This window comes from Homo sapiens, chromosome 9 (assembly GCF_000001405.40).
Source record: "Homo sapiens chromosome 9, GRCh38.p14 Primary Assembly".
NCBI classification, from domain to species: Eukaryota; Metazoa; Chordata; class Mammalia; order Primates; family Hominidae; genus Homo; species Homo sapiens.
In genome coordinates, this window is record NC_000009.12 from 11267974 (window position 1) to 11282236 (window position 14263).

The 14263-nt window shown below is 35.5% G+C and overlaps 1 long non-coding RNA gene across 4 annotated transcripts in view; it reads right to left on the reverse strand.

Annotated features, from left to right (window-relative positions):
• LOC105375974 (uncharacterized) overlaps positions 1-14263 on the reverse strand; it is a 248630-nt gene that overhangs the window by 14005 nt on the left and 220362 nt on the right. For 3 of the 4 annotated variants that reach the window (XR_007061893.1, XR_001746618.1, XR_929476.2), the window contains exon 4: positions 7432-7563. This is a non-coding gene — a long non-coding RNA (uncharacterized LOC105375974). Of the gene's footprint in view, positions 1-6676; positions 7274-7431; positions 7564-14263 lie in introns of those variants that run through there. The other variant, XR_929477.2, reaches the window with a different exon arrangement.

Here is a 14263-nt window from a genome sequence, read left to right on the forward strand (position 1 = left end):
TCAAATTGTGAGTTTAGCTGCTTGAGTTTATTTTATGAGTTGATATAAAGGGTGATCTATCTCACACTACCCAGGTACTTATAGTCTGCAAAGTCTAGTAATGCCTAAGAATCCCTTCAGCTGTTTAAGGTTTTTGGTAAGGGAAAAGGAGGAAATAGGCCTAATATTTTTCTCACCTAGTGATCTGGTCTCTTCTGATAAGGCTAGACCTAGATACTTTACTGAAGTCTGGCAGAGCTGAGCCTTAGATTTTGAAACCCCACATCTCCTTTCAGCTAAGAAATTGAGGAAAGCCTCAGTGCCTTCCTGAGTCTTCCTCAGTTGGGGTACACAGGAGAATGTTATCTACATACTGCAAAGCTTCAACATGAGGGTGAGAAAAATCAGAGAGGAGGAATAAGCATGTCCAAAAGAACAGGGCCTCTCTTTGCAACTTTCTTCTGATATCAGGGGCTGCCTGAGTAATAAACTTGTCCTTTAAGATTAGATGTCATTCAGATGAATTGGAAGACAAGGCAGTTTGTTTCACTAAGGCTTCTCTCAGACTTTCTGAAAAGGCTGAGGGATTTTTATCTAGTTTTTGATCTATCATGGAAATCTTGGAGTAGTTAATAGGCTTGGCTCCAGTCTTTTGCAAGCCTTCCAATGTATACATTTAAAAGAGTTTTCTCCATTCTCCAATGCTATCATCATGGTCACATTTAGGGTCCTCCAAGGACACAGCTACTCTCCCAGTTGGATAAGGCTCTTTCCCTTCCCTGGCACTTTGTATAAGACACAAAGTTCAAAGCTCTTTCCCTTCGCTGGCACTTTGTATGAGACACAAAGTTCATCTCCAATGCTCTCCATTGTTTGCAGGGATGCCTGTTTCTCAGCAGCAGTTAGGGTTTGATTTAAGAGTAACATAACATCCTTCCAGGACAGTTTAAATACTTGTGTTAAATCCTGGAAGTCCACTATATGTGAGTGAAGATGGGGTTTGCTCAAAGAAAACTTCAGGGTCTGAGGATTAATGGAGATCCAGCCTGCACTTGAAGAGAATGCAAATTCAAAAATATGTTGTTACCCATCTGGAAAAGGATGAGAGAAAAAGCACCCCTTAGTCTCTTTTATCCTTTCAGAGTTACCCAGGGTGGAGGAAAACATAGAAAGGTTTACCCTTTCTCCTTTTTCCTCTGGTCTCCTCTGAGTTCCAGCAACTGTCATAAGTGCTGTCCACGGATGCAAGCATCACCTTCACCCATGGATCTAGAAGAGCTAGTTAGCAGTAGTAGTCATGCTTACCTGGGCAATGCCCTAGCGCTCCACTTGTCTCTGGGTCTCTCAGATCTACTCGACCCAAAAGACTTCCAGGTTAGCCAAGAGGCCCAAGAGAAATTGTTCAGCAATTGGATTTGGTGAAGAAAATCCAATTTAATGAAGAAAGTGTCCTGACTCTATCCCTGGCTTCTCTTACTATGACCCTAGTGAAGCACTGAATTCCCAGAGAATGAGATGAATTGACTTCTAAGCATAAAATCCCCCTTTTGTTTAAATGCCAATGTAGCTGGATGCAGAGGAGGTGTCTCAAAAGTACATAAGGATTAAACGTCTATCCTCCTTCCAATGGGGACAGTACTGGGCTAGAATTTGCCTCTCAAGGGAAGCTTCCTCCTGACTGTTGAAAGTGGAGTTTTTCTGTTTACAAATAGGGCATGGGGTCTGACCAGAGGGAATGGAGTTGAGGAAATAGAGGTTTGGGGCAAAGGACCAATAGGACCACCCACAGAGAAAAATCTCATTTCACTAGAAAGTGTGGGAGGGACTAAAATGTTAGGTAAAAACTCTGACTCCAAATTATTTTCAGGCAGAGGTTAAAAAAAGAGGTGTGGGGCTTGGTGGGCTGTCCTCACAGTAAGCCTTTTAGCAGGAAAGAAATGATTTGTCTCATAGAGGAACAGTTTTAATTCATTTGGCAGTGCTGTACTCTTACATGGAGGAAAACACAACCCAAATGGACAGTAGGATATTTACTTGGGATCAAATACTCTTCTATTCAGTGCCATGAATGACTATCACTGGGAGATTAAAAAAAGCCCTTACTAGGTGAAAGTTTAGGCTAAAACTTTTAAATACCCCTATCTCAAGAAAATCATAGAAGCAGCAATTATTTGAGTTACATTCCTGGTTACTAAGAAACTTTCTAAATGATCCCAAAAAGATTATCTCCACAGGCTGCAAAAACTCCCCCAACATAGCATAAAGAAGGGATAAGAGACATGATAGCCACAAAAAAGAAAAACAGAGAATGTGATAGGAAAGTCTGGAAATCCTGGTGCTGACACCTGATGGCTGTTGGAGACCCGAATTAGTCCAGGGGCCTTCAGGTAACACTGAGGTGTGACCTCAGACAGATGCCTTCAGTTTCCCCAGGACCTCCTTCTAACCCCACGTGAAGGACCTGTCTTAACTTCTGTTGTTTTCTTTCTCCTGTCTCAATAGAGCATACAATTTACATCATCAAACCTATTTTACATATTTTTCTTTATAAAGTAGAACTAGTAATAAGACTATATACATGAGAAGCTGCAAATCCCATTGTAAACTATTTAAGCTCAAAACCTAAGTCTGAAATACATTTTCTGTCATGTTCTTCAATGCACTTTTTAAATTTAATTTTTATTTAGAGAAAGTAAAAGTAGCTTATATCAGTGTATATTTCTGCGAGTTTTTATAAACACCTACAATTGTCTAATCACCACATACTCAAGATGAAAAAAAGAAAACCTACACCACATCAAAGAAATTTAGTCTTGAAGCCACTTTATACAGTCAGCTCTTCCCACTTTTCCACATACACAACCAACTTTGGGAATGACTCATCTATTTCTTTTCATAAAAATTTGCCTTTTACAAAATGTCATATAAATGGAACGCTGCCTTTTGAATCCTGCTTTCTTTACTTCACATAATACATTTGAGATTAATCCACATGTTGCATCTATTAGTAGTATTTTTTTACTGCTAAGCAGCATTCATTGTATAATGAACATATCATTGATTGCACACTCATTTACCAGCTAAACAACATTTACATTCTGATTATTGGTTATTAAAAAATAAAGCCAGTATAAATATTTACATATAGATATTTGTGGTTGCATAAGTTTTCATTTATCTAAACACCCAAGAGTGGATTACTTGGTCATAACATAAACATGAATGTTTGAATATCTAAGACATTCTTAATACGTTTTCCAAAGTGGTTGTAGCATCATATAAGAATACCAGTTACTTTGAATCCTTACCAGCATTTGAAGTTTTCACTGTAGTCATAAGTAACATTGTTCTGATGACTAATTATGTTAAACATGTTTACATGTGCTTAGTAGCCATATATATTTACTTTAGTAAAGTATCTGTTCAATTTCTTGCCCTTTTATAATGAACTTGCTATTTTGCTATTATTGAGTTTTAAGAATTTTTATATACACACACACACACACACACACACGTAAACCAAAAAGAAAATATACATATTTATTCTTTTTCTTCTTTTTCTGGATTAAAGTCCTTGGTTATAATAATAATTTGGAAACATTTTCTCCAGTATTTGCTTCCATGATCTTTATAGTGCCTTTCACAGAGCAGGAGAATTTAAATTTCATGAAGTCAAATTTATTAATATATTATTTTATAAAAATTATTATTTTCTAAGATACTCCATTATGCTTTTGGTGTAGTATATAATAAATATTTCCTGGTACAATATCATAAAAATATTTCTTTAACTTTTTTTCTATAAGTTAGTTTTAACTTCTTTATTTAGATTATTCATTTCATGTTAACTTTTATGTAAAAGATATGACTTAAGTTTAATTTATTTACAGGTGTGTTCAATTATTCCAGGAAAATTTCTTTTTAAGACTATAATTACTTTATAGAATAGCCAAAATTTAATTAACCATTTAAGTATTAGTATAATTCTATAGTCTCTATTCTGTTCTACTTATCCAAGTATCAGTCTTTTCTCTAATATCAAACTCTGTTGATTGCTCTAGATTAGTATTGAGTCTTGAAATCAGATATTGCAAGTCCTTGTATTTCCTAATACACTTGTATTTCCTAATTTTTTTTGTTTTCCTAATTTTTAATTTTTGGGGGTACATAATAGGTATATATATTTATGCGATACATGAGATATTTTTATGCAGGCATACAATGTGTAATGGCCATATCCTGTTAAATGGGATATCCAGTACCTCAAGCTTTTATCATTTATTTATGTAATGAACATTCCAATTATAATCTTATTTTTTAAAATGTTGTACTATAAATTATTGTTCACTGTGTTAACCCTTTTATGCTATCAAATACTAGATCTCATTCACTTTATCTAACTATATTTTTATACCCATTACCTATCCCTTCTTCCAACACCCACTACTCTTCCTAGCCTTTAGTAACTGTCATTCTATATCTCCATGAGTTAAATTGTTTTAATTTTTAGCTCCCACAAATGAGTAAGAACATATGAAATGTATCTTGATTTTACTTAAAACAATGTCCTCTAGTTCCATCCACATTGTTGTGGATGACAGCATCTTGTTTGTTTTCATGGCTGAATAGTACAGCACTGTGTATATATATCACATTATTTTTATCCATTAATCTGTTGATGGACACTTAGGTTGTTTTCAAATCTTGAATATTTTGAATAGTGCTACCAAAAAACATGAGAGTGTAAATATCCCATTGATATATCGATTTTTCATCTTTTGAGTATATACCTAGCAATAGGATTGCTGAAATATATGGTAGTTCTATTTTCAGTTTTTCAATGAGCATCCATGCTACTCTCCATGGTGATTGTACTGATTCACATTCCCACCAACAGTGTATAAGGGTTCCCTTTTCTCCACATCATCAGCAGCATTTGTTGTTGCTTGTCTTTGAATAAAAGCCATTTTAACTGGATGAGGTAATGAAACGCCTTTGCAAAAATTATAAGTGAGGAAATTACGACAGTGAACATAATCAGACTTAACTGACTCCATCTTGCTTCTAATCTTTAAGGTGTCCTTGTTTATTCCTGGGCATAGACCAAACTAACCTTGGGAAGAAATTTAGTTTATGGTTTGACTCTGAAACAATATTGATTAATAACCCTTTCCAGAAAAGACCTTCTGCCTTGGGACCAGTCTGCCTTTGTAGGACTAACAAATTAGCTACAAGAGTAGAAATTATGGTAAAGGGGTTATGTAGCCTCTGGATGCAAGAGTCTGAAGCTCCCCAAACTGCTCCTGGGGATAATATCATTATTGTAAAACCTAGAATCAATGCTTAAGATATTTTGCAAACACTGCACTCGGTGCATCAGCTGACTCCACCTAGACCCATAATCTGGCTCAAACCAGTTCTGCAATTCCACCCAGGAACAGAAGACGGCAAGAAAAGCTCACTCTGGCCCTGCTATGATTCCATCTCCAACCTGACCAATCAGCATTCCTCGCTTCCCAAGCCCCTACCCACCAAATTATCTTTTAAAAACTTCAATCCCCAAATGCTCCAGAAGACTGATTTGAGTAATAGTAAAACTCCAGTCTGCTACACAGCTGGCTCTGTGAATTACTCTTTCTCCATTGCAATTCCCCTGTCCCGATAAACTGGTTCTGTCTAGGCAGCAGGCAAGGTGAACCCATGGGGCAATTATAGTGATACCTCATTGTAGTTTTGATTTGCATTTCTTTGATAATCAATAATGTTGAGCATACTTTCATATATCTGTTTACCCTATGCATATCTTCTTTTGAGACATGTCTATAGAGAAATGCTCATTTCTTAGGTTAGATTATTAGTTATTTTTGTATTGAGCTGTCTGAGCTTCCTATATATTCCGGTTATTAATCCCTTTTAAGATGAGTAGTTTTCAAATATTTTTTACATTCTGTTGGTTGACTCTTCACTTTGTTGATTGTTTCCTTTGCTGTGCAGGAGCTTTTTCAACTTAGGGTGATCCCATTTGTCTATTATTGCTTTCGCTGTCTGTGTTTTTAAGGTATTACTCAAAAAACATTTGTCCAAATAAATGTCTTAGAGAGTTTCTCCAATGATTTCTTTTAGTAGTTTCATAGTTTGAAGTCTTAGATTTAAGTCTTTAATATATTTTGATTAGAGTTTTGATTAGGGGTATAGTTTCATTCATATATATATGGATGTCCAGTTTTTCCAGCACCATTTTTTGAAGAGACTACTATTTCCCAAATGTATGTTTGTGGTACCTTTGTTGAAAATTAGTTCATTGTAGATGTATGGATATGTTTCTGTGTTTCTGGCCTCGTACCTCATCTACCCAGTCCCTGTACAGTGTCCCTGACCTGTGTTGAGTAAAAAATGTCACTTTCTAACAGGCCCAGGATCCTCATGTTTTTAGGACCTCAAGAAGAGAGGAATTTACCCAACTCATAGGTGTTTGAGGGTACAAACTCATGGCTGGGCTCGACTTTAAAAAGGTCTGTTATAAGATTCCTTGTGGAACAGAGTTCCTTCAAAGACAATTTGAAAATCATATGAAAAATAATTATTTTTGCTGAACTTTATTTTGCAAACAACTCAGTCTTATAATTTGTTTTTAACAAAAATGAGGACTAAAGAGGGAAAAATTATATTTCAAAACATGTTATTAAATTCTGTTCTCATTAGTTATTTTTAAGTTTTTTTCCTACATTTTAGACTATTCCTGCTTATTCCTTTGAATCAACTAGTGATTTCCTCCTGCTGCTCAGAAGAAACAAAAAAGGATGTGTAGTGAAAACAACAACGACAACAATAAAACTGGATCAATATTCTAGTACTGGTTAATTATCTTGCAAATCGTGCCAGGTAATAGGAGTAAATATGATACCCATAACCCAGACGTTTTTTGGGGGGAAAATAAAACCAATGGAGATAACCAAAGCCAAGCCCATGCACCCAAATCTTAACAGACATAACTACAATCATCAGTTATCCAACTGTGTCAGCAGCCTCGGAATTTTTAAAACGTCATTAACCCCAGTCTTGTTTTAACACATGTTCTCTTATAACCTAAATTGTTTCTTTTTGCCTAGAGCCTATCATGCTCCAAATAGTGATACAAATAGAACCACGCATGGATGTGCTCTTCTTAAGAGGACCCTTAGATTGATCACAGGAGAAATCCCAGCTGCTGTCCCCCATATGATGCCCTCTCCAGCATGAAGTAGTCTGAACGATCAATGCACAATGTCCCTACTCGCACTTAGGGTTTTCATTCCTGGGAAATGGGGAATGGCGGAGGGTGGAGGCGGGGAACAAAACAGTTGACAGACAGTTAAGACAGGTTCTTGGTAGAATTCTTTTAAACATAGAAACAGCCTGAAAAATCAAGCTGCAGCTGCACAGATAAGGGAGCAAAACCAAACATAGAAATACCTTTGTTCTTTGTGTAATCAGCCGGCTCCCGGAAAAAAATTTCCTCCTCTTCTACAGACACGTACAGACACGTACATGGTGGGCTTCCTGGGAACTTCCATGAGAGGGAGGCATGCTGAGACGTGCCTGAAGCTGCACAGATAAGGGCAGTTACACAGATAGGAAAAATTTCTTATAAAAACCTTTGCATTCGACTGTAAAAACGGAAACCTTCTGGGGCCTCCTCTCCACTGCAGAGAGTTTTGTTCTTTTGCTTATAAAACTTTCACTCTAACCTCACCCTTGGTGTCCATGCTTCTTAATTTTCTTGCTCATGAGACAAAGAGCACAAATAACACCTCAGACAATGAGACTGCTTCATTGATCCTAGACGGCTTCAATATCAAAAAGATAATAAAATAAAACAGGCCAGGTGCGATGGCTTATGCCTGTAATCCCAGAAATTTGGGAGGTTGAGGCGGGCAGACCACTTGAGGCCAGGAGTTTGAAATCAGCCTGGCCAACATGGTGAAACCCTATCTCTACTAAAAATACAAAAATAAATAAATAAATAAATAAATAAATAAATAAATAACCGGGTGTGATGGTGTGCACCTGTAACCCCATTGACTCAGGAGGCTGAGGCAGAAGAATTGCTTGAACCCAGGAGGTGGAGGTTACAGTGAGCTGATATCACACCACTGCACTTCAGCCTGGGCACAGAATAAGACTCCATCTCAAAAATTAAAAATAAGAAAACAAACAAAAATAAACAAACAAAAATTCTCATCCCTAACTCATGCTGCCTTGAACATGAATCCTTTAGTGTAAAGTAGCTTTCTTTTTCCTTCTACTTGCCCAAACTTTACTTGTTCTTAAAGGCCAAGTTCAAGCCTCAACTTCCAAAGCTTCTTCAAAATGCAGAGTTCTGTCTTTAATATATTACTTCTGTTATATTCTGCAGCACTCTTTTGGAATGAACCCAGTTTAATTCTACTTTGTAAATTTTTTTTAGCTCTCCACCTTCTCTTCTGTCAATCCAGTTTGTATCATTTGTTATAGAACAGTGTCTGTCATGCATAGATGCTCAATAAATATGTTAAATAAGGGAATAAAACATTAATGAATGATATGTTTTTAATTCCCAAGTTAATGCTAACTTGCATGAGGCTAATTAAATTAAGCATGCCTAGTATCTGGCTTTAAAAAGACATGTGATGATCCGAGTAGAAAATTGGTTAAGCCCTCATCATCATCTCTCATCTCTCCATCTTCTTTGGTCTAAAGCATAGTTAAAATGGATTACTATGAAAACAGTGGGATTGACCCCTTCCCCACAGTTATTCCTTTGGATTCACCATAAAGAGTACTTTGTGATAATCAGAAATTCTACATCACAATGGCTCAGAATTTTGTCATAGGATGTTTGCTTTTGGTTACCTGACATGGGGAACAATTTCACAATGCCTAATTGTATCCTTTTTCAATGACTACCTTTGCCCTTTTACTTTGTAAAAGTTTGTTATTTCAATTGCATGTAAATAATTTGAATTCTATGTTCTATTGAACCTCACTCATTATATGGTCAGATTCCTTCTTTCCAATTACTTTATTTGTATAATAGAGTTGCATTTCTTTTGTAGGCACGTTTCAGTAATGTTCTTGAAGAGCCAAACAATTCAGAAAATATTGAGCTTTTAGTTTAATAAAACATTTAAACATTAGTGATTTAAAATCAAAATATCAGGTTCCAAAATCAGAGCTAGCACCAATGTAGTGAAATAGGAAGCCATTTAAACTTGCTAAGATTCAGTTCCTTCTATATAATGTGGACAAGACTAAGAACTGCTTGTTAGGTTAACTTTCAAGATTATGATCAATAATGAAAACTCTTGCTAGTAGTTAGTATTAGAAGTAATCACAACAGTTTTATTCATATCATTATAATAATTATCATGTTTACAAATATTAATATAATTTAATATTTAATATTATGAAATCCCAAAAAATAGTTGTGTCACCTTCCTGTTGTAGGAGAATGGATGTAGAGGCTTGCAGTCTAGGAAGAATACTTCTTACAAATAGGTCTAATAGTTATTAGATAATGAAGGATTCATTGTCTTAAGTATTTAATTCTTGATACCAGTCTCTATTTTATACCTAGTTGACTCAAAAAATTAATATAAGATGACAATAGTGGCAGATAAATTGGATAATATATGTGTTTATCTGAAGAATGGGTTTTTCCAGTAAACTCTTTGAAAGATCTCAGGTAAATTTCTCACTTTTCTATTAGTGACTGAGCTCCCCATATATTTGCTAAATTAACAGCACCCTAATAGAGTTTCTGATTTTTCCAAGTTGAATGCTGATAACTTACATTGCAATGTCTCTGTTTTTACCCTCAGCTGAAGGCAACACAGATCTTATTAAGATCAGAACTACAAAAAGAGAAAAAATAATCAAGCTCTGGAACAAAATATATATATATATCCCTATCTAATCTCTTCTGTTTTGTTTTGGCTTCATACATTCAACCTCATTCTGCCACTGGCATTGACTTGTATTCTGAGTTTTGTTATAGTAGTGACCTCCAACTAAAATATGTTTGGTAAAGATAATTTTATTTTTGTTGATTTTCTTTAATACATCTATTTGGCTATACAGAATATCTTACAATTTCCTTTGGAAAAATAAAATATTTACTTACATAACAACAACATTAAATATACTTTTTATGCTTATATTTTGAATAATTTATTTATTCATCCATTTGGTAAATGTCTCCAGAAATAATACATCACTTTGGTCAATGGTTTCAACTTTCATATGTTGAAAAAGAAAAAAAGGCAGGCATTCAGTATGGATGCCTGTATTATGGGATTTTTCAATATATTCTTTACGTATGAAGTTCAAATGAATTTATTTCAAATATAGCAACAGCATGTGATGCTAAGACACACCTCATTTTATTATGCTCTAAGTGTACACCATTGGAAATACAAATACAGTTAAAACTTTCACTATTAGGAAAACATGTCTCCATCAAGATAATTATATTAAAAAATATTTTGAGTTTGAGTGGTAAATTAGTAATTTCTTGCTTTTTTCCAAAAAATTCAACTGATGTGTAGATGTGTAGGAAGAAGCCACTTATGTACATGCTTATGGGTTTGCATTACACACACACACACACACACACACAAACAACACACACACACACACACAGACAAAACTTCTAGTCGCTGTTTGCTGCATAACAAACCACCCTAAAACACAGGGCCTTAAAACAATGACCTTTTATTTGCTATTGATTCCATTGGTTAATCATTTGGACTGGGCTCAGTTCAGTCATTCTGCTGATCTCACTTGTGCTCACTCCCAATTCTGGGTGATCCAAAATGACCTCACCTTCAAACTTATTAATTGTGCTACCTGTAGGCTGGAATTCTCTTGCCATAAGGTCTCTCATCTTCATAGAATCTAGTCTGAGTTTCTTTACATTTCAATTTCAGAATATCAAGATTGGTAAGAAGAAGCTGCAATACCTCTTAGACATTGCACATATCACATCTGCTATATTACTCAAAGCAGTCAAACCACGAGACCAACCTAGATTCATTGGGAAGGGGAAATGTACTCTATCTCTTGTAGTCTAGTAACATTACAAATGGCAATTCTGATTTCCAGTGTAGTATTATATTTAAGATACCATGGGAATAGTTATCCATTCTTGTCCATGTATGATGTGTCATACACTCAGCTTTACTTTTTTGTTTTGTTTTGTTTTGTTTGAGATAGGGTCTACTTTCGTCACCCAGGCTGGAGTGCAGAGGTGTGAACATGGCTCATATGGCTCCTACAGTCTCAACCTCCCAGACTCCAGCCACCCTCCTGCCTCAGCCTCCTAAGTAGCTGGGACTACAGGAATGCATCTCCACATCCAGCTAATTTTTGTATTTTTTGTAGAGACGGAATTTTGCCATGTTGCCTAGGCTGGTCTCAAACTCCTGGGCTGAAGCAGTGTGCTTGCCTTGGCCTCCCAAAGTGTTGGGATTACAGCTGATGTCTTATATTTAGCATTTTATTTTACTATATAATTGCACCCAATGGTTGAATAACATTATTTTGATCATACAGATAAGAAAGGTTAGATTCAATGAAGTTATTTAACAAAGTTAATATAAGACAGCTTTGGAATGAAAATACAAATTTTTCCAATGCCAAAGTTCAAGCCCATAACTTCTAGACTATACTGCCTGAAGGGCCACTTTGCTTGATTTTCCAAAAGAGAGAAAAAGAAGCAATAAAAGGTAGTTTAAGATGCAGCCATCACAAAACTGAAAATTTCTCCTCTCCTCCCCAACAGATACCCTGTTTACGGTAAGACTGATTTAGGAATATCTGCTGTAGCACTTAAGGGCTCACTATTACATTTTTTACTCATTTAGTTTTATTTTCTGAAATGTTTACCATACACCTTAGCTCTCATAATGCTGACCAATATTCTCCCTGACATATAAATAAATATAAATCTATGGTTATAATTTAGATTATGACTAGAATTTGATTCCCACTTTTGGTTTGCCAACATAAATTTCACATTTCACTGTAAATTTCAAGATTTCCTTTTTATAAGCTTAGTATCTTCCCTTTAATGTAGTATATAGGTATCTTTTAAAAGATGTTTTGCCTTAAAATTCTTCTTCATTTTAAAGAATTAAAATCTTATTTTACTAGTTGCATTGCAGAATGATGCAGTTTTTATATAAGAGGATTTACATTTTTAAATATGACTTATATAAGTCTATAATTGGTTTTTAATGCCAACCTATTACTGGATAAATATGCTTTTTTCTTTGTAATGTAAATGCTATAAACAGTGTGAGATGGTGAGAGATAGCTGTGTCTCACTTCAGAGGTCAGGTCAGACAGGGTAGAAACTGCCCCCAGAAGCAATCTATTATAATGGCTGTCTTTGGGTTTGGAGTATTTTTCACAGTCATTTTTCTCAGGGTACTCCAAAAAATAGGTACAACTAAGGAGACTGAATGAATGTGCACACCAAATGGAAGCTGCTACCCCACAACCTCTTTTGAAAAAAATTGAATACTATATCTTATTTGGTCACAGATGACTGGAACAAGATTTGGTTCTTTAGTCATTAGCAGTTCTCTGTAACATGCCCAGAGGATTTTAATGTAACCTGGAATGGAAGTACTACCTATTTAAATCTCTTGAAACTGGTTAATGAAAAACTAAATGAACGAAACATTGTTTAGGAGTAGTTTGAACAAGAAATGAGAGCGAGTCAGTAATTGGTAGTGGGAGCAGAGGATAAATGTCACCCATAGACAGGACAGAATCCAGAACTCCTGTGTGAGCAGAAATTTGAAGTTGATGGCAGACATCATAGAAAATCTCAGAATAGCTAAATCATCAACATTTCCCATTAAAATGGGGAACAAAGTGTGTTTACTGCTGGACTGGCAAATAGAGTATATCACTAGAGCTGTTTTAGATTTTACATTCCTCCTTTCCCACAAGCCTGACCTTCAGGCAATTGCAACTATTTTCTTTCCTGTCTAGATTTTTCAATTCACAAAACCTCTACAATGAATCCTAGTAATTACCATCTGTGCAAACTAAAAGTGCTTGCCTAGCATCAGAGCCAATAGAGACTAGATTGCGTGTCAGGGGAAAGGGATGGATATTAACCCTGCAAGGTCTATGGTTAAATAGAGTTTGAGAGAGGGCATTTAAGCACAAGTTTTAAAACACGTTATATAAATGATCAGTTCAATAGCACTAATTACACAATATTAATTTTTTGCCAAGCCTACTGCAGCTTCTGAAGTAAAGAGGTAGGATAGCTTCTAAAAGGCATTACAAAACTCTAGACAACTATTAGCTTGAACATTGATCTAAACTCACTTTAAGCTTTCCTATCAAATGTAACTCTAGTAAAAATGTAATTTACTTTCTAATTTACTAATATTCATTTTACTAACAGGAAATGTTCTTTTTCAAAAGATAACTACTTTAATATGTCTGATGTGTGTTAAAAATTTAACCACAAAATAGTACATTTAAAATTCAGAGGCTAGGCACAGTGGCTCACACCTATAATCCCAGCCCTTTGGGAGGCTGAGGCAGGCAGATCGCTTAACTCAAGAGTTTGAGACCTGTCTGACCAATACAGCGAGACCCAATTTCTACCAAAAATAAAAACATTAGCCGGACATGGTAGCATGTGTCTGTCGTCCTAGCTACTCGGGAGGCTGAAGTGGGAGGATCACTAGAGCCTGGGAAGATCACTAGAGCCTGGGAAGTCCATTTCTACCAAAAATAAAAACATTAGCCGGACATGGTAGCATGTGTCTGTCGTCCTAGCTACTCAGGAGGCTGAAGTGGGAGGATCACTAGAGCCTGGGAAGATCACTAGAGCCTGGGAAGTCAAGGTTGCAGTAAGCCAAGACTGCGCCACTGCACTGCAGCCTGGGTGACACAGAGAGACCCTGTCACAAAAAATAAGACGAATAAATAAAAAATTTAAAAAGAAATAAAATTCAGAAATATCCAATAGTACACATTAAATTCAGTGTGTAAAATGCAATGCTGTTTACTCTAATAATTAGAAAATGTTCTTGATTATATTTAGTTTTTAAGATGAAAATGTGTGATAAATTGTTAAATTAAGAAGCAGAGTAAATGAATTAAGGCAGTTTTATATTACTATTTTAACTACCATGTAAAGTTTTTGAAATTATATTTTCTCCTATATGATTTGTCAGAAAAAAGTTACATTTTCAGAAAGGTCTTCATATTATTCATTATGTGAAAACCTATGTAA